We start from the raw sequence: 21261 nt of genomic DNA on the forward strand, positions 1-21261 counted from the left end.
TGTATGTGTCTTTTGGATAGAACTGAAATTTCTTATGCTTTGTTTTCTTACTTATAACTTGTCTCCTCACTCTAATGAAAGTCCATCGTAGCCGGGATTTTATCTCCCTTGACCGTGTCTTCTACAATAGTGCTTGGTCTAGAGGTGCTTTGTTCATTCCCTGAAAGAATAAACAAAGAGTTGATTATCTTAAAGGGGTGCTGAGGTGTATCACATGGGAAGCAAGGCAGATAATAGGCATGATGTGACTGACCTTGTGAAGAGCCAAAGAAACTCAGAGAACAGCACAGATAGTGACTCAGTTTATGAGCTTTGGATTTAGACCTGGTATCAAATCCCAGCTTCTCATTCTAATTTCCTCATCTATAAAATGGGTTGAGAATATTTCTTGAGCAACTACTTTGTTCCAGGCCCCATACTGAGCTCTTGGACTACAATGGGGATCTAGTTAAATCTTCTACCCCTGTGGAGCTCAGGCAGATGTCTACTCCTCCAAGTTCACAAAGGAGCACCTATAACCACAGCGTATAAGAGGTGCTCTGTGAGAGCTAAGCAAGGAATGGAAGAACACTGGGGTGACTCCTCTGGATGGTCGGGGAAACAAGACCCTTGAGAAAGAGTTAGAGGCTTCCTGGAAGACCTGCAGAGAAAACATCAGAAAGGAGGAACAGCCTGCACCAAGGATAGAGACCAGGAGCTTCAGTGTTAGAGGAATTGTGACCAGATGGGCTGTGTTTGTGAAATGTAATGAGGCCAGAGCAAGAGATGAGTGTGGAGAGACAGGCACAGGCCAAGTATGTTTCACAGGGTTGTGAGAACGCCAGAGGATCATTCATTCATTCATTCATTCAGTTCTTCAGCAAATTATTTATTGAATGCCTTTTATTGGTCAGAGGTTATTCTCAGCACCGGGGATGCAGTGGTAGAAAGGAGACAAATCCCATGCTCTTCAGAGCATCTATTCCAGATGAAGAAGACAGGCAATGAGTAGAAAAAGTAAATTATTGAGTGTGTTAGAAGTTAATAACGTAAAAGTGGCCAATAAACATGTGAAAAAGTGCTCATCATAACTAATCATCAGACAAATGCAAATCAAAACCACAATGAGATATCATCTCACACCAGTGAAAATGGCTTTTATTAAAAAGTCAAAAAATTACAGCTGTTGGAGAGGTTACATACACTGTTGTTTGGAATGGAAATTAATTCAGCCCCTGTGGAAAGCAGTTTGGAGATTTCTCAAACTAAAACAAGAACTACTATTAGATCCAGCAATCCTATCCCTGGGTATGTATCCAAAGATAAATAAATCATTCTACCCAAAAGACACCTGCACTGGTATGTTCATTCCAGCACTATTTACTATAGCAAAGACATGGAATCATCCCAGGTGCCCATCAATGGTGGACTGGATTTTTAAACTGTGGTACATATATATACCATGGAATACTATGTAACCATAAAAAGAAGAACATCATGACCTTTGCAGCAACATGGATGCAGCTGGAGGCTGCTATCCTAAGTGAATTAATGCAGAAACAGAAAACCTAATACCACATGTCCTCACTTATAAATAGGAGCTGAACATTGGGTACACATGGACCTAAAGGTGGAAACAATAGACATAGGGGCTTCCAAAAAGAGGGAGGGAAGGAGGGGAGCAAGGGCTGAAAAACTACCTATTGGATACTACATTCATTATCTGAGCAACGGGCTCATTAGAAGCCCAAACCTCAGCATCACGTAATATATCCATGCAACACAACCGCACATGTACCCCCTGAATATGAATTTTTTTAAAAGAAGTTAATAAAAGGTATGGAGAAAAACAAAGCAAAGTAAGGGCCATAGAGCATGCCAGTGGGGGGTTGGGTTTGCAGTCTTATGTAATGTAATCAGGGCAGGCATTGGTAGGACTTGAAAAGAGGTAATTCACATAAAGATATACAGATTTCAGCACAGCGCTGGCTGGTACATAAGAAGGCCTCAATAGGCCAATTAACCAATTAACCATGATGATGATGATGGTAATAATGATGGTGCTGGTGATGATGAAGGTAGTGGTGGGGAAGATGAAGGTGAAAGACAAAAAGAAGAAGGAGGAAGAGTCATTAATGGGAAGTCCTTTGTAAGAACCCTTTCCTGGCCAGCCCTTCACACAAGAAGTAGCCTTTTTCTCTTTTTCTGTCCATTGGTGCCTCCTCCAGCCCTCAGGCCCTCAGACCTGAGGGTCTCAGGCATTTCCAGTACCAGAAGAGGTGCAGAAATGGTGGCCAATACTTTTGGAAATTCATCTTCCAAAAATTGCTTTCCATCCATTTGCTCCACTTCCAGTTTATTACCTAGCAGTGTGCAGATGGAACCATTTTTTCCCAGAGCTGCTTGAAAGAGAGGCATTGCAATTGTGCAGCAGGCTTGGGAACTGATTTATGGGAGGTATACCCCAGGAACCAGGCCCGATGCCCCCACCCATAGCTGTAGCTGGTAGAATATGACACTGTCTGGCCTAATTCTGTGGGCTAACACTGGAGACAGACGCCAGAGGTGCTGACATGTCACCTGGTCCAGGACGCCTCATCCTCTCCCATCTTCTTCCTGCATTGGAGTCTCTCCCACCAGGCCTCTAGCCATGGTCTCACCCCAGTGAGCAGGAAGGAGAGAAAATGTTTCTCAAGACAAAGGCAATTTCCTACTGCCAAAGGAAACACTCAACCACATCTTTAATCATCTGAGTATTCGGAGAGCTGCTCAGTTGGGCCATTTAGAAGTTATTATAGAAGCTAATTTGTTCTTTGACATTTTCTATTGAATTTTCAGTTCCCTCATTCAAATTTGAAGAGATTATGACCCCATAATGTGGCCTATAAACCCACATTATAACTACAAATTGAACCAAATCTTTATCTTTCCTTCTTTCTTGCTGTGTGACTATGGGCAAGTTGTTGAACTTCTTTAAGCCTTAGTTTCCATATTGGTAAAATCGGGTGGCTCAGAGTCTGCTCATAGGATCCTGGTAAGGATTAAATGAGGTAGAGCAGCTGAATGCTTAGCTCCGAATTAGGTGCATAATAAATGTTCAAGAAACGTAACCTAGTAATAATATTTCTTAAAAGCATTCTTACTGTCTTTCTCTCAGGCCTAAGTTTCCTTTATTCACTGAGCTGTGATTTGGAATCTGAAGGCCAGCTGAGTTTCTACAGGTGACTTAGGACAGGTATTCTACTACACAGATCCTCATATTTCATAGCTGTGAAAATGGGGGCATCAACTATCTCCCACAGTTCTTGAAAGAAATACTCCTTCTGTATGTAGAAGTTTCTTGTAAAAGCCAAATCAACCTCTGTGTAAAGGCTAGTGATTGCCATCATTTTATAAATAAAATCTGTGTTTATTTTCAAGGTGGATCTACTGCAAAACAGAGACACACACAGGCTTCTCACAACCCTCTGCCTGACTCACACAGGGTCTTGTTGCCTCTCCCTCAGGTGCCTGGTAGCTGCAGGTGACAGGGACGAAGTCTGAGTTTCTTCCCCTGCCTAGATGTTTCCCCAAGTGGATTCTGCAGGAGTTGATTCTGTAGCTGTTCTTGGGTTCAGATGACTTCAGTATGTTTGATGGGGGGACTCCTCACTTAGAGATCAAAGTCTGGAATCTTGTCTTCTCCAAGGTTAGGAAGTGTTTAGCTCTTGGCTTTTCTCCCAGGCTAACCTCTAGACCTGATTTTGGTATTTGCCTGCTGCCTGCATGATGCTGGGCCTAGAGAGAGACCTGAAGAGCCAGAGGGCTGGTCAGTTCTGTATCCTCCACATTTTGGAGGGATGCTGAAGACTGTACTGTGCCAAAAGCTCCCACGACAAAAGGCAAAGGTCATGGTGGGAAAGGGAGTTACAGTGGGCGGTTCATGTAGGCTGGCCATCCTGATGGCGTTCCCTTGTTTCATCTCTTTCTCCTGCCACCTTCCCATTTTAACATGTTACACTGGGGCCAGGGAGTGGGGAGCTAGATTTCAGGGGCTTGGTAAGTTCAGCCCATAACATTTTTGTGAAAGCCCCTTCTCCAGGAATCAGTCTTTACCTGTGACATTAGGTAATTTCTAAGATATGGAAGATATTCTAGATCAATATAATCTTCTAAGATTCTGCCAGGCCCATTCTGGCCTATGTCTCAATCTCAGAAAAACTGTAATCCTTGAGGGTAGAGCTTATAGGAGGATGGGTCCTTCCCAGTTTAATAACCTCCTTTCTCTTCATATGCTCTAGATAAGCTCGGTCCAATAAAACTTCCTGTGATAATGGAACCACGCCATGAAATACGGTAGCCACTAACCACATGTGGCTATTGAACAAATGTGGTTAATGCAACCAATGAGCTCAATTTCCTATTTAATTCGTTTAAATAGTTGCATGGTGATGCATGGCTACCGTATTGGACAGTATAGCTCTCGACCATCTCTCCTTTCAATTACGGAGTCAGCATGTGTGCAAAAGAAATTGCTTGATAATCTCTAAGATGCCAGCCCCAGTGCCAGGCTCTGCACAGGACACATGAGGAAAAAGGGGCTGGGGGTTGCTCCAAGCCTTGGGAAAGTTTTGCTTATTGCTTGGGAGGAGAGATGGAGACAAAACAATTAAAAGCAGAAGCAAATTCTGGGCAAGGGACTCAGAGCCTGTGAGTTTTGCCTGCCAAGTTAAGAGTTCAATTCTTGGAGGGCAGGAGCTACTCAGGCTGGGTGCACAAGGGTTGCCTGATAAAGACAGATGGGCTGTGAGGGAAGCAGCCTTTTATTGGGCATCTGCCCCATACTATTTGGGCAGCTCAGCATTGCTGGGCTTTGTGGGGTCCCCAGCAACCCTAGGGCTCCACTCGCCACCTACCCAGTATCCCCATTCCAGGTTCTCAGCAGGAATGGGCAGTGACGTCTAAACTTAATTTATTTCCCTGATACTCTCTAAGCAATGATCTGACTGACATCCCTAGTAGAAACCAGCCTCTTTTCCTGATAACTGTAAGCACCAAGAAAACATTGAGAGTGGCTGGCTTCTTGGCCTCTCTGTGCAGGGAGGGTGGGTTTTATCCTTTTGTCCAGGGTGAGGGGTTTCCCCGAGTCTCACACAGCCCTAGCTCTCCGTGGTGGCTGTGCCTCCACTCTATCCCAGAATGGCGCACAGATAGATAATCTCCTCCCACAAAACAACTGGTCTTTCTTTGATGTGTATCAGGGTAGCTTTCCTTTCTTTCTTTTTTAAATAAATAATTATTTTGAGAAATCTCCCTGACTTGAGTAGGAAGCAAATGGCTGTAGAATTTATTTAACAAACACTCATGTGGTGCATTCAAAGTGCCAAGTACTGTTCTTTGTGCTCTTATGAAATATGAACGTGTTTAAGACTTACAACAACACCAGGAGGTGCTCTGCTGATAACCTCATTTTAAAGATGGAGGAAGATGAGGCATAAGTGACTTAGGTTACTTGTCCAAGGTGGCATAGCTAGTTAAGTGGCAAGCTCGCAGGTGAACCTGTAGGGTGACGAAGCATCCTGGTTTGCCTGATGCTGAGGGGTTTCCTGGGACGTGGGACTTTCAGTGCTAAAACCTGGAAAGTTCCAGGAAAACTGGGTAGAGTTGGTCACCCTATACCTTGGGGGAACAGGATGGCTCAGAGTTCCTCCTCTTTGTCTCCATGTTCTGCTCATTCATGGGCCCTGAGCCAGTGGGGGCATCTGGAAAAAGAGGTGAGTGACTTGGGACTAGCTTTGTTTCAGTCCCCTCATTTTCTGGATGAGAAAGCTGAGGCCCAACTTATACTTGCCCAAACCTCAGGGAAATCAGAGGCAGAGCTGGAACCACACCTTCGTCTACCAAGTCCCAGCCTTTGGCTCTGTCCTACAGCTCATGGATATTTATTTATTCATCTGAACTCTATATCTGTGGAAAAGGGACTCAAAGGGACCTATAGCAGAGGACATGACAACAAGTTGCCGAAATACAAGCAACAGAATAAAACTGAAACCAAAATTTAATGCCAACATGCCAGCTCTAATAGATAATTTCAGCTTGAGCTTCCTGGCAACCATGATAAAAGAGGAAAACTCTCAGTTTCATCAAGGGAAACAAGGCTTTTGATGCTGTTGTTTTATTTGGTTTAGTTTGTGTTTTTATACTGCATTACTATCTATTTGAGATCCTTAGACAGGAACTATTTATGAACACCAGGAGAAGGTGCTTAGCACTAGTTGGCTGTAAAGACAGAAGCATGTTTCCATGACTGCTCTTTTTGTTAATCTGAGACTTCTGAGGGCTCCAACATAGTCTAAATAAACTCTGATTCAGAGGTGTACTCTATGAAACAGATACAATTGGAGGTTGAGGGGCCTGGAGCCCTGCCTGATCCTGTACCTCATACCTCCAAAGCCTCCAAGGCATTCCATGGAGCCATAATTGACACTCTGGAGTGTCAGTTCTCCAAGCCCAGTTCCTGAGCACAGACACAAGCCTTTGGAAGCCTGACTGGCAGCTCCTCCACCTTGACAGCACCATGTGCTTTAGGGTGGGTGCCCCCACCATTGCTTCACCTCACCCTGTGCCCAAGAGTCCAGGTTCCTGCTGGGCAAAACCAGGCGTTTCCTATTATTCTTGAATACAGCATGAAGGATGGCTGGCTGCCCTGCCAGGAACAATTTGATTCTTCCTTGTTAGTTTTTCATTAGGATTTTTGTTGGCTTTTCTTTTAAACAATTTCTTGGGTTTCTTTCAAGGTCGAGGAGAAGGATGCTGATATAAATATACCACTGAGGGAGGGAGGAGAGCCCCACCCTAATCAAATTTGAGCAAAGACAGGATAAAAATTAACCTTCATTTGAATATGTAAACAAACATGGCATTTGGTAATTTCCAGCCGTCCTTGGCTTGGGTTGCCAAAGAGCAGCATAAAGTGATTTGTCTGCCAGGTCTCTGTACAGAGAAAAACTTTATTCTTAGAGGCTTTTTACACTTGAATAAGTGCTAAATAATAATAATAGGCCAAGACTGAAAGCAACTCTTTCTATTGGAAGGGTGTCAACACAGGCAGGATGAAGAACTGGGACTTCTTCAAGGGAGTGAGGGAGTGACAAAATCTGGGTTGATAAATGCTGACATTCTGAATAAAATCACTCCATGCCTTCACCTAGGTCAAGAAACGACATTGTTTTCCTGAGCGGCAGTGACAGCGAGGTGACAGAGATTAATAGCTTGGTATTGACTGAGCAACTTCGAGTTCCTTATCTCTGTCAAGTCAAGGCTGTGTCCAAGGGCTGAAAGTGTTATTAGACTTATAATTGCAAAGACATTTAAAGGGTTTCCCCTTAAGGGACTATGAAATCCAATAAACGTTTCACAAAACCTCAAGCGCTCGAGTGCAAAGCCCCCATCTGGGAGAGCTGCGTGCTCCCAGCCAAGCGCCAGGGAAACCTTTAAGCCGCCAACATTGAATAATGTTTGATTTATGAAGTTGGTTTTGAATTTGTATCAGTTGTTTTATTAAAAATATATGAAAGGAAGTTTTAAATATGAGCAAGCCCTGTAGGCTGTCGCCTGCACTGTGCCACCTGTCTGGCTAAGCCGCCTCCTTCTTCCTCACTCTGCCGCTCAGACCCAGGAGGATGGAGGAGCTACACAAACAGTGTGGCTAATTTGCGGGGTTAATTTGGTCTGCCAGGGATTAAGTCTGAATTTTTCACCTGGGCTCACAGAAGAAGGCGGGAAGTTCTGAATAATGCTGAAGCAGGTGTATGCGGAACCAGTGGATTTGATTTGCCATCTGTAAGGTGGCCCAGGGACATCTCTCAGCATGCTGGATTTACTTGTCAAATAGCAACACAGAGAAGTATGTCAACTTCTGGAAAAAGCATTTCTGCTTCCTTCTAGGAAGCTTCTAGCACTGGAGGCTATAGGCAGGGTGAGGTTGGTTTGCAGGAGACCTGTTGGAGGGCCCTGGGTATAGGGATGTGGGATTGCAGATTGGTGTGGGACTCTGGACCTCAGTTTCCCTATCTGTTGAATGGACCAGACTTCTCCTCCCAGGGTCATCTATGGATCTAAGAGTCCTTGGACCTGTGAGAAGAACCGACCCAATAGGGCATGACCTTCAGGCTTGGTCCCTTTTCACCTTGTGGCCAGAGAGAAGGGCAGAGGCAGAGGCCTAGAGAGCCAGGGAGGCGGCTGGTAAATGCTTCATCCAGGAATGAGGCCATGGGTTGTAGAAGTGTGTTTGTGAAAGGGAATCTCTATTGCTAGGGCCAGAACACAGTCTCTTGGGGACTGTGGGCACTTGCAGAGATTTGGGGGCTGGGGCACCTACTCTGTGTGCAGCCTGGGATGGACCCAACAGGTGGATGCTTCTTACGGTGCTGAAATGTCATCTACCAGTCCACCCCCATGCCTTCATGGAGGTGGAAGGACCCTGGGTGTCCTCAGAAGCCTGTCCAGAGGTGCCCTCTCCCTCTCTCTCTGCCCTGTTCCTGCAGTAAGGAGAAGACTCAGCACCCTTAGGCATCCACAGTTCCACTTTCACATCACTGCCTTGTTACCTTTCCTCCACTTCCCCCGTGTCAGGCATACAGTGGGTGCTTAATAAATATTGGCTAAATGAATGAAGGAAGGCTCCCAATCTACCCCCATTCTCCCCTCCAGACCATCAGGGCCAGCCAAATGTGGCCAGATAGCATGGGAATTCTGCCAGAGGCTGTGGGAACTTGCCAATATTTTGGGATGGGGGATTAATTTCAGGTCTGATCTGGGAATCTCCCTATAGGTGGGTGCTTTTGAAAGTCTTGAGGTACTCTCTGGGGCTCTGAGGCTGTGTCCCCAGTGAGGAGGTTGGGAGTAGAGGGATGAGAGCCATAAAAGGCTTCCAGAGATCGGCCCTGGGAGCCCTTTGTAAGGGTGGTCTCTCTCTCTCTCTCTCTCTCTCTCTCTTTCTCTCTCTCTCTCTCTCTCTTTCTCTCTCTCTCTCTCTCTCTCCCACCCTCCCTCTCTCTCCTTTCATGTGCCTCCTGCAGTGAGGGGAAAGTTTAGGCATCCTTGGGGCTCCCACAGCCACTTTTATGTCACTTCTCCATTACCACAGTGGCGCCCCATGCCTGGCACAAGGTAGATAAATATGTGTTGAATAGATTAATGAATGAATGAAGGCCATCCACCAACTCCACTCCTGCCCTATTAATGCTATCCAAGGATGGCCAGCCAGCAGGTTGACTCTGCTGGGGAGCTGTAGTTGTGTAGTTATGGCCAGCTCTGGAGCACCATGTGGCATTGCTGTATCTTCCTAGGTAAGCTCTGTCCTTTGTTAGAACTCACCACCAGCCTTCTGATACCTTGGATTCCAGTACCTTTCGGTTATCCTCCAGACAGCTTAGCAACCTTCCCTGAACACTTCCCACATGCCAGGTGTAGCAGGACCTAGCAGGGGAGACCCCAGGGAGGGCAGTAGTTAGGCGGCCAACCTAATTACCCATGGTCGATAACATGCCTACCCCAAGGTGTCTCTCCAAACAATGGAGAACAGACCAGGAGGAGGAGTGCCACCCTGTGTGTGTGTTGGGAGAGTACACTGGGTGATGGACAACCATCCAGGTTGGTGGAGAATTGCCTGGATGAGTGCCTTGGATGGTAGAGGACTACTCCATGAGGTGGAGGAGTGCCTAGGTGGTGAATGACTAATCCAGGGGGTGATGATTGCCCTGGAGGAGAGCCTCCAATGGTGGAGAACTGCTCTGGGCAGAGGAAGAGTACTCTGGGTGGTAGAGGACATCTCTAGGTGATGGGGCAAGGTGCAGCCTGCCCAGCTATCTGACTTCCAGGGTTGGAACCCAAGGCTTGGGCTTCTTCCCAGTATGACCCTATGGAATCCATTCCCAAGGTGCTCCACTTTTTCTTAGGATAGGGAACAGAGAGCATCTCCCTGAGGACAAAAGCAGACCAAGACAAAACACATTGCATCTCAGCCTGGGCTGCAAGGAGACAGGGGCTAGGTGCAGGGTAAGAGGCCTGCATGCAACATGTGGGTTTTCAGGCAGAGCTAGAACTCCCAAGCTGGACAGCCCTCTGGGAGCAGGAGTGAGGGAGGGCCAATCTCTGGCTCTCCTCTCAGTATGCCTTCTCCACCTGTTCTGACCAAGAGGGCAGTCATGTCAATCAGCAAATTCTGGTCTCCAGGACAGACAGGAGAGAGGGCCCTCCCTCCCCATCCTGCTGTGGTCAGGAGGCCTTTCAGAGAATCTCTCCTCCTTCTGCAGAGCCCCTCTGTTCCTAAAGCAGATAGCCCCAAGGCCTCCTCTAACTCACCCTTCTTCTCTGCACCCCTTCTTGTGCATGTTCATTTGTTTTGGGCTCCCTGGACTTCTTGATAATTCCCCTGCATGTTCAGGCTCACACGGTCTATTCCTGCACTGGCTGAGCCCTGGTGCCCCCACACCTCCAGTGGATGTGGTCCTGGTAAAGGTCACTGGCAATGGCATCACCTCTCAGCACCAGGTCCTTGCCAACATTCACCTAGCTAGCATGATTACACATGAACTTGGGTCAGGCCCTAAGTTCCTTGTCCATCGCCTCCAGCCTTTTGGATCTTGTAATTTGCTAAACTCTCTACTCTTCCCTACCTGCTATTCCAGACTGACTCAGGCTTTTGCAGAGTTGAGTTCTCATGACATTGAATTCATCGGACTGTGGGCTGCTTGGATGTTTGTCTTGGAGGTTGGCCTTCAAAAGTCAGTCGTGCATTGTACTTCCACCTGCATTTGAATAAACTTCAGCAGAAGTTTTCAGTGCTCTGGGGTTTTGGCCACAGGAGACACCAAGAATTGGGGGAAAGGGCAGGAACTTGAAAAGGATGGACAGGGAGACAGCAATCTACAGTTGCCCCCAAACTGGCTGCAGATCCCAATTAACCTTGGCCTCCCTTGCCTTGGGTGAACTCAAGGCTGGGGTTAGGAAGAAGGTAAAAAATGTCTACACTCCACCACCAGGCCCTTTAGAGGCCAATCAGCTTGCTTCATGGAGGGTCCACTGTCCTGTTTGTCTTTCCTTTGGGATTTTCTAGGGCTCCATTAACTTACATGATAAACTAGCTTATGTTGCTAAGAGGTCTTCTTCTCCCAGGGAGTTGAGCTATTCTTGAATTGCAGTGGGGCAGTTAGGATTCTTCTGAAGCAAATGATAGAAACTCAAACCAAATAAAAACCTGTTTGGTCCCTGCAACTGAGAAGTCCAATTGTAGATTAGACACAGGAGAATTCGGAGGTGCAAACATTGATTTTAGAACTTGGCCTCTCTCTACTTCTCAGCTTCCTTTCCTATAGGTTCACTCTTTTCAAGCAAGCTGACCCCAAGTGGTGCCACCAGCAGCTCCTGATGTATACCTCTGTCTTGGTTGCTCTGGCAAAATTCTGGAGGCTGAGTCTCATTGGACTCACCTGGGTTATCTGCCCATCCCTGAATCAATCACTGGGGCTGGGAGGATATAGCATATTAATTGGCCCAAGCATGGTCATGTGCCTAACCCTGGAGTTCAGTCAATGCCATATGAACACATGGATACAGCATGGAGACCAGGCAGGGGAGCAAAACTAATGCCCATTAAACGGGCCTTTGTCATCATTTGAACTTTCTAGCTTTCCCGCATTTGTTTCTATCACTGCTTCTACCTGGAGACATCGTCCCTCTTCTCTGCTTTGTTCCATGCCCTTCACTTCCTACCTTGGAAGAGATGCCTCATTTCTATGCCTCAGTTGATACCCAAAGAGGGGGTTAGAATAGGTGGGCTTGATGGGTCCTTGCAGATTCCGAATGCTACATCTAGTTTCATCCTTTAGGGTTCAACTGAAATGCCATCTCCTTCAGTGTCTCCCCAGTTTGTGTCTCCCCAATTTGCACAACTCTCATTTGCCTTGAGTCTTGGCTGTTTATGTCCACATTTTGTCTCCCTCTTACCCCATGAGCTCCTTGAGGCCAGGTATCATGCATGATTCATCCCTGGTTTTCTTTCTTTTTTTTTTTTTTGAGACGGAATCTCTCTCTGTCACCCAGGCTGGAGTACAGTGGTGCGATCTCTGCTCACTGCAACCTCCGCCTCCTGGGTTCATGCCATTCTCCTGCCTCAGCCTCCCGAGTGGCTGGGACTACAGGCACCCACCACCATGCCCGGCTAATTTTTTATATTTTTAGTAGAGACAGGGTTTCACCGTGTTAGCCAGGATGGTCTCAATCTCCTGACCTCGTGATCCGCCCACGTCAGCCTCCCAAAGTGCTGGGATTACAGGCGTGAGCCACCGTGCCCGGACGATTCATCCCTGGTTTTCTAAGAGCACCAGACACACAGTAGAGGGCTCACAAGACTTCCAGAAGCTAAGAGAGACATGACTCATCTATCTTTATTCCTTGATTCATCCTGGATAGTAAAAAAATAAAGAGATGCCAAAACAGGGCAGCAAAATTATTGCATATTATAATTTTTTCTTTGAACAATTAATACTTTTACACTAAAGCCCATTCAACACAATAATTTACTAGTCTGTATCCATCAGTTATATGACTGAAGAATTTTGACTAATGCAAAATGTCAGAACATTTATGGCAAAATAATGACACTTCAGAACTTTCGATAAAACAGAGCGTGTAGTAACAATTATGGTTTGAATGATAGCTACCCATAATCTCTTGACTTCATTTTGTTTTCAGTGTTCTATTGCAGGTGGCAATGTCCTAAGATGTAAATTGCCATTCACAAAGTAATTACAGGATTTATGTTTTAAAAAATTCACAGCACACGCCAGGCAGTGGGTTCCGGCAAGGGGACTCACATTTAAAGCTGGAAGACAGGATCTTCTTTTAGTCCTCTTGTGCATTGCTGTGGCTTTATGTATAAATATATTAGGTGACAATGTCAATTTTAAGTTTAAGGATCTCTGTGAATATGCAGGAGGCCAAGTAGTTACTCCACCCACCCCCTGGTCCCCCACACCCACCACGATGTGTACTCATGTGGGCTTGTGCGATTGCTTTGAGCGTCGCTAATTCAGAGGCCTGACAGTGCAGTGGAGATTTGGGGACAGACAGTGAGGGAGGGGGTGCTCGGGCTGCTGACATGGGCACATTTGGCGACAGGCTGTGATCACACCGCGGGTGGCTGGACAGCCTTCTTGGCCCATGCATATGCATTGTGGCAGCCCTGGGGAGCTGGGGAGTTGGCTGGCCTCCAGGAAGGGCGCCATATGGAAAGTGTGTGGGTTTTTTTTCCCCTAGGACTTTACCAAAAGAAAAGAAGTAGAAAAGAAAAAGGAGAAAAGAGAAGAAAACTTTAGAGAGAGGCTCATACAAGGTTAATGATGAAAAACGTAAGGATCAGCTAACTGCCCCAGTCTCCCCGTGGCCCAGATGGGGAAAGGAGGCACAACGAGTCAAGGAGGCTCTTTGCCCAAGTTCAGATGGAAGGCAGTGCTAAGGGCCACCTTTAAGTTTATGTTGGAGAAACAGAATGTTTGGTTCCTAAGTTTCCTCCTGATCTCTCTTGGGAATCTCTGACCTGGAATGTGGCCATCTGTGGCCACATTAGATTAGATTTCTGGCCTCTTCTAACAATCAAATAATTTCTTGATAGTTAGTGTTTTATACGATCCTTTCTCCAAATCTATCACCCAAGGTAATTCTTTTTAACTATACCAGCCTTTAAATTCCCCTTTTTCTTACATTGTTAAAAAATTTTAATAGTGTTAAAATACACATAACAGAAAATTTACTGTCTTAACCATTTTTAAATTTTGCAGTATTTATTGACATGGGAATATTTGCACAGTATATTCTTTTTCTATTGTGGCAAAGAATAACATAAAGTCCATCCTCCCAACAATTACCAAATGTCCAGTATAATATTGCCAACGACGTACACATGGCTGTTCAACACATCCCCAGGAGCTCCCACCCTCTATACTGAAACTCTGTACCCACTGAACAACAGCTACCCACTGTTCCTCCCTGAGCCCCTGGCACTTACCATTTGAATTTCTGCTTCTTTGAGATTGGCTATTTTAGATAAATCATATGGATGGAATCACGCAGTATTTGTCTTTTTGTGACTGACTTATTTTGCTTAGTATAATGTTCTCGAGTTTCATCCATACTGTAGCATATAACAATATTTTCTTCTGTTCTAAAGCTCAATATTTCATTGTATGTTTATACCACATTTTCTTTATCCATTCTTCCATTGATGGACATTTAGGTTGCTTCCGTTTCTTGGCTACTGTGAATAATGCTGCAATGAACATGGGTGTGCAAATATCTCTTTGATATCCTGTTTTCAATTATTTTTGGTCATATACCCAGAAGTAGGATTGCTGGATCATATGATAGTTCTATTTTTAATTTTTTGGGGACCTCCATACTATTCTTCATAATGGCTACATCATTTCACATTTCCACCAACAGTACACGAGAGTTCCAGTTTCTCCACATTTTCACCCCTTCTTAACCATTTTAAAGTCTACCATTCAATAGGGTTAAGTACATTCACATTGTTGTACAACCAATCTTCAGAACTTTTTCCTTTTGGAAAAGGCTTAAACCACTTGGGTTAGGTAAACCGCTTGGGTTGGCTTGCAAGAGCCCTAGTCTATGTGCCCCTCCCCCACCGCCACCCCCACCCCCAACCCCTGAGTAAAGTGCTCTGGTATCTTGGAGAGAGAAGTGAGACAAGTTCCTTCTCCCTCTCAGGTGCATCAACACAGCAGAATATTCTTAGTTTGTAAAGTGGGCAGATGTTGGTGTCCTAGGACTTGTGATAATGTTCCAGAGAGGTCAGAGGACAGCCCAAGGTGCTCTGTAGGGGGAAGATAATAACCCAGAGTGCTCAGAAGCATGGGATTACATATGTGGACCTTTGCTTCCTTACTGACATGGAGAACTGTCACTTTAGCCTAACAAAAATAGAAGTTCTTTCCTTAGCCAAGTGGCTCCACACCTAGCATCTTCTGGGGGCACTTACTGAATATACAGATGCCCTGGCCTTGTTCTTTCTTTTCAGGATGGGGGATTCTTCAACAGGACATGCCTCAGGTCCAGATAAACCACTCCCAAATGCAAAGGTTGAAGCAACTGTTTGCCTTTTGGACAGGAATCTTGGCACCTGTCACGGACTTCTCAGTCAGGAGAGGGCTGCTTTTGAGAGCACGTGATGTACTGTTCCCCTTGCATTTTCTTTTCTTTTCCTTTACAGGAGGGCTGTTGAAGGTCATGTCACGAACAGGATGTGTGTCATAATAGATAGAGTTCTTCCCAGAAAAAGGAGGTGGTTGGGGGAAACGAGTTCTTGGCTTGGTAATTTCAGAAGTCCTGATTTGTCAAAGCCAAGAATAGCCTTGTAATAATAAAGGGGAAAAATTGCTTGAGATTCCAAAGGGAGTCACGATTTAGCAATAGCCTCGAAGGAAAATTAGGGTCTATGTATGATGGCACTGCTCTTTCCTGCTGCCTCCTCAGAGACGATTACTCATTTGTAATTTATTAGCTAATTATGCATGGGCAAAGGAATATGAATCACTTCATTTAGATGATAGCAATTAGCGAGGGCTTGTTGGAGTTCTTTCTGTCGGGGTTCTGGGTATGTTTAGACAACACAGGTGCTGCCAGGGCTAACACACCTCTGGAGAGGAAACATTCCATTTCTCCCACCCCTACTGGGCTACCAAATAGGTTCCTGCCCTAACTCCCCAGACCTCTCCAGACTATACCACTTCCTTATGTCTTCACCACTTACAGACTCTGTGAATTTTGACAAATCACCTTATTTCTCTGGACTCCATCTGTAGATTGGAACCATTCACTCATTCTGCTTGCACACAGTAGGCTGGCTGGATGGACAGAAATGTTAGAACATAAATTTGGAACCACTGGCTGTTTGGTTTACTCCTAACACCCCAGAGGGTTAAGAAAATGCCAGCCCTTAGGACCTAGAGACCCTACCTGCCCTAGAGATGCACTGCATGTGTGCACGTGGATACAGGATGTTATTTGTATTATAGCATTTATTAGCAAAGGACGGCAACAATCCCAATGTCCATTAATAGGAGAATAGCTAATAAAATGTGGTATATTCAAAAGCTGAGCACTACCAGCCAGTTATAAGGACTGACCTAGATCTCTATATGTCAAAATGGATGGTGGCATGGATAGTGAATAATATATCCAGAGAATCCTGTTTGTGCCAAAAGTCGATATAAAATAATGTTACATGTTTTCTGTGGAAAAGTATATGTCAATCTACTTGTCTATCTATCTATCTATCTATCTATCTATCTATCTATCTATCTATCATCTATCTATCTATCATGTATCTTCTGGTAAAGGATAAAAAAAGTCTAGAATAACACATCAAATTAATAGCTTAATAGCATCAGAACTTCATGGATAAAGTCCCTAAAATCACTTGCTCTGCAATCCCAACTCACCGATAATGAGTGGGAGCTGGGTTTGGGAGGTTGACAAAGAAGACTTGTTTTATCAGAATGTTCTAATTTTTAAAGATGGTTATTAGGCAGCTATCAACACGCGATGATCTCACTTGCACGGGGTGCCCTGCCCTGTGCCCTGGCAGCTCCTCCTGTCCACTGCCTCCCTGCCTGGCCCCTCCCTCCCTCAACCCTGCCCCTCTCTTTATCCTAAGATAGATTTTAATAAAGTTGCTGCATGTGGAAGAGGATTATGGGCTCATCTGATTTCTGCTATTTGAAGTCCTGGGGGAAGGAAAGCCTTGTTTAACTCAATTCATAACACTATTAATCCAACCATAAACCTTCCAATGACTTGAAAGGAGAGAGGAGAATTCATTACAGTGCATCTCTAAGTGGCAAATCCTGCATCTCACATGCCAGCAGGTGAAACTCTCCGGGGCCCTGGCAGCTCCCTGTCTCTCCGAAGGTCATTCTCAGAAGCAGTGAGCCCCAGCACTGCATGGGCTTCATGGGGCTCATGCTGAATCCCTCTTCTGCTCCACACTTCACAGTGGGGTAAGTGGGGCCCAGAGAGGTGTGTCGGCTGTCCAAGAACACAAAGCTAAAAAACAGAAACCTGATCCAACTCAATACTCCTGATTTTATGTCAAGAGATCTATGTGTTGTAAAAACAGTTTTAAATGAATGAGGTTTACGCGCAATCATTCTACTTCTGGAAGTCTAACCTTCCTTAAAAATAATTCTAAGTATGGAAAACGCCATATCCCTACCATATTTATTACAGTATAATTTATAATATAACTTACTTTTCTCTTTTTCTACATCCAGGATGAAAGAATCATATAATGTAACATCTTGAGTCAAACTAAATATGTACCTCTAGAAAAGAGGCCACTAACAATAACTCAATGGGTTATTATGCAACTATTAAAAATGTTTCAAGAGACTCAACTAACATCAATAATAACTATAATATGCTGAACAAAAAACAGCAGGGTGAAAATTGTGTGTATAAAATTGTTTGATTATAACTTTATGAAAATATATGCATAGGAAAAAAGACTGAAAGGAATAGAGCAAACTGTTATGAGGGCTTGTCAATTTCCCGTGCATTTAAGAATACATGATTGAATGTGCTTTGCATTGTTAGAGTGGGATTATGATATTTACTTCCCTGTTTTGTTTCTGTTCTCCCAAAATATTTTGTAATGCATTCATGCTATTTTTTAATCAACATATTTTAATTTTTAAAAAGTGGCTTCACTCATTGTCTTAGGTTAGACTCCCTGTGAAATGAGAGAGAGAGAGTGAGATGAATTTGCATGCAGAAGTTTGTTAAGAACAGCTCTCAGGATCAACACCTGTGAGGGGTGAGGGGCGCTGGCTTGAGCAGAGAGAGAAGTTAGATTGCAATGCAGTGGCTTTGAAGTCCTTAGCTGACTCCATGGAAGCTTTGTAACTGGGATGGTCTTCAGAATGTTCCTGCCCACATGGTGGTTTAAGTTTCATAGGGCATTCTAAAGTGGCAGTGAATTAGTGAATTGCATGGCTTCAGAGTCCAGGCTTGGGGACCAGAAAGTCTGGGTTTGAATCTGGCTCCCCTGTTTACAAGCTGTGAGAGCTAGAGTCTGTTTCTTCCCTGCCTCATCACATCTTTCTCTCTTTCTCTCTTTTTCTTTCTCTTTCTTTCTCTTTCTCTCTTTCTCGGAGTCTCACTCTGTCACCCAGGCTGGAGGGCAGTGGTGCGATATCGGCTCACTGCAATCTCTGCCTCCTGGGTTTAAGTGATTCTTCTGCCTCATCCTCCTGAGTAGCTGGGACTACAGGCACACACCACCTTGCCTGGCTACTTTTTTGTATTTTTAGTAGAGATGGGGTTTCACCATATTGGCCAGGCTGGTCTCAAACTCCTGACCTCAGGTGATCCAGCCTCCTCGGCCTCCCAAAGTGCTGGGATTATAGGCATGAGCCACTGCCCCCGGCCCACATTTTTCTTATCTGTGAAAATGGGATGATGGTAGCAGTACCTGTCTCCATTTCCTTTCCAATTACATTCACACATTTTGCCTCCTTTAGTCCTTAAAACACCCCTGCAAGGTGGGCAGGGCAGAAATGTAGCCCCCAGGGCATTTGTGGTGCTGAGGCATGTGATGAATGTTTCCCAAATCCAGAGGCAACTGCTGCATCCATGCATGGAGCCCAGATGTTTTGGTGGCCACTACCTCTTTAATCCTGAGCAGGGAACAGCTGCTCACCTGTTGCCACCCCGATTTGGTGGCTTAGATAAAGAGTCACCTCAGATGCTCACGCATGGCCTCTGGGTGCCCCTCATTACTGGGGGCCTCCCTTGCACCCAGGATAAAGCCAGCCTTGGCAAGGTCTGGAGGTGGGGCTCTTCCCCATCCTGGGAAGATGCTTGAGAAGTCCAGTTTCCTTACTCCAGCACATGTTTCCAGGACTCTTCAGATATGTTAACTGCTGCTTCTGTGTAGACAAAATAATTATTATTTCTTAATTTTTTTTAATTTTAATTTTTTTGAGATGGAGTCTCACTCTCTTGCCCAGTCTGCGGTGCAGTAACACTATTATGACTCACTGCAATCTTGAACTCCTGGGCTCAAGTGATCCTCCTGCCTTAGCCTCCCAACTAACTTGGACTACTGGCATGTACCACAATCCCTGATCATTTTTTTAATTTCTTGTAGAGACGGAGGTCTCACTATGCTGCTCAGGCTGGTCTTTAACTCATGCGGGATCCTCCCACCTCAGCCTCACAAAGCACTGTGATATGAGCCACCATGCCCTGCTAAAATTTTTAAATAAGTTCTAAATGTAAATGTAACAATGACATATGATAAAAACAATTCAGGTGCCATGAGAAGGTAAACCACAGAAACTACATACCTCTTTCTCATTCCACAGCCCTTCGGAATTTTATTCCCCAAGGAAATTGCTGTTAATAATTTCTTGTGGCCTCTATCAGCCCACATATGTATGTATTTTTAAAATGTATACAAATGGGGTTATAATATATGTGCAGTTCTGTGTTAGGCCCTTTCTTTCAATGTTTGATAGATGTCTACCTGTTAGTACCTATAGAACTATTCGATCTCTTTTAATGGAGGCAGTATTAATTCTAATTCTTTTAAATGCTACCAATAATTTCTAATTCTCTTAAATTTTTCTGTTTGAGTCTATTTCTATTTAATCTGTCCACGATGCTGTATTTAACTAAGGAGCTCTTGATGCCCATTCCAATGCTGTGATGAACATCTTTGAACATATATCTTTGAGAACATCTACTTAGGATAAATTCCTAGAGTTAATCTTATTTTAAAGCCTTCCATGAGGATTTAAAAAAATAGATTTCCTCTGTCATGCGTTTCTGCCCCTAAGATGAGGAAATGTTTTGTTGGAGACAATCAAAATCTCTTGCTGAGTAGGGAGTGACATGAGTTTTGAGAAAACTCTGTCACTCTCAGTGCTATGAGAAAATGTGTGCTGAGTCCCATCCCAGTGGGAGTTCAGAAGGAGAGACGATATGTCCAACTCCAAGAGCTGCTCATTTGCAGGTAGCAGTTGACCTCTGCTCCTGTACTCTAGACTTGGAAGGATTTAAGCACGTTTGGTGGCTTATTACAAACTCATCATCCTAAATTATGAAATGCCCTTTGTGCCTCTCAGTGCCTGTGTCTGGCATTAGGTGTGTCGTGGATGTACTTTTTCTAGTTCTTTGGAAGGCAGGTCACTGAGTAGCAGCAGTGCCAACCTCCTCTCTGATAGAGGGTGTGTGGTATGTATGAGACCCAGGGCAGGTGTCACAGCACAAAGTAGTGATTATCGGTAATATGATTTGAGTACTTAGTATGTGCCAGATGCTGTTTTAAGGGCTTTGGGTAATTAACTTATTTAATTCTCAAAGCAAACCCATAGTAGGTAAAATTTTTATCCACCTATTACATGAAGGAACTATAATAGTTATTGGTGCTGTTTGGCATTTTTTCTGGTTTTTCTTCTAAGCATACCATGAGTTTATAGTTTCCCACTCACTTTGAAGTTAGGTATGGCCATGTGACTTGTTTTGACCAATGGCGTATGAGCATAAGTGGCATGTATCTCTTCCTGGTAGCAGCTTTAAGAGCCAGCCTGTGATTGGTTCCATTCCCTCTGTCACAGAGACTCCAATGCTCCATGTGTGTCAATCTGAGTCCCAAGGGGAGGGTCATGAGTACCAAAACCCCCAGACAATCCATGATGGAAATGGAGCATGAGTGAAAAATACATCGTTTTATTTTCAATCACCGTGAGCCTGGGATCGCTTGTTATTAGAGCATAGCCTATTCTATCCTGATACAGGAAAGGAAATCACAGAGGCTAAATTAGCTTCTCAAGGTCACATTACTAAGTGAAAGAACCAAGGTTTGGGCTCTGACATTCTGTCTCCGGAGTCCACCTGTCTCTCACATTAGTACATAGCATACCTAGCTAGTGGCTCCAAATTGGAGCTTAAGGAGAAGAATCAAAAGCTCTCTCTAAAATTCTGAGTGTGTTTGGGAGTAGGAGCCCAGAATGTCAGGTTGACAGGGATTTCATTATCTGGGCTTACTGAGTGACAAAGGCTCAACTCAAACTGATGTAACATAAATACACACACACACACACGCACACACACACATTTTTGAGGGTGTTCATATGTCTGAATAATCTATGGGTAGAATTGGCTTAAGAACAATGGGCTCGCTGGGAGTGGTGGCTCACGTCTGTAATCCTAGCACTTTGG

At 44.6% G+C, this 21261-nt stretch overlaps 1 annotated feature.

Moving 5' to 3' along the window:
• Positions 6396 to 7724: an enhancer, noted in NCBI's record as "VISTA enhancer hs101". NCBI's record gives its function as "enhancer in: hindbrain (rhombencephalon)[3/3]" and the evidence as "EXISTENCE:transgenic organism evidence [ECO:0001131][PMID:17130149]".

The sequence above is a fragment of the Homo sapiens genome, chromosome 16, assembly GCF_000001405.40.
Source record: "Homo sapiens chromosome 16, GRCh38.p14 Primary Assembly".
Classification (NCBI taxonomy): Eukaryota; Metazoa; Chordata; class Mammalia; order Primates; family Hominidae; genus Homo; species Homo sapiens.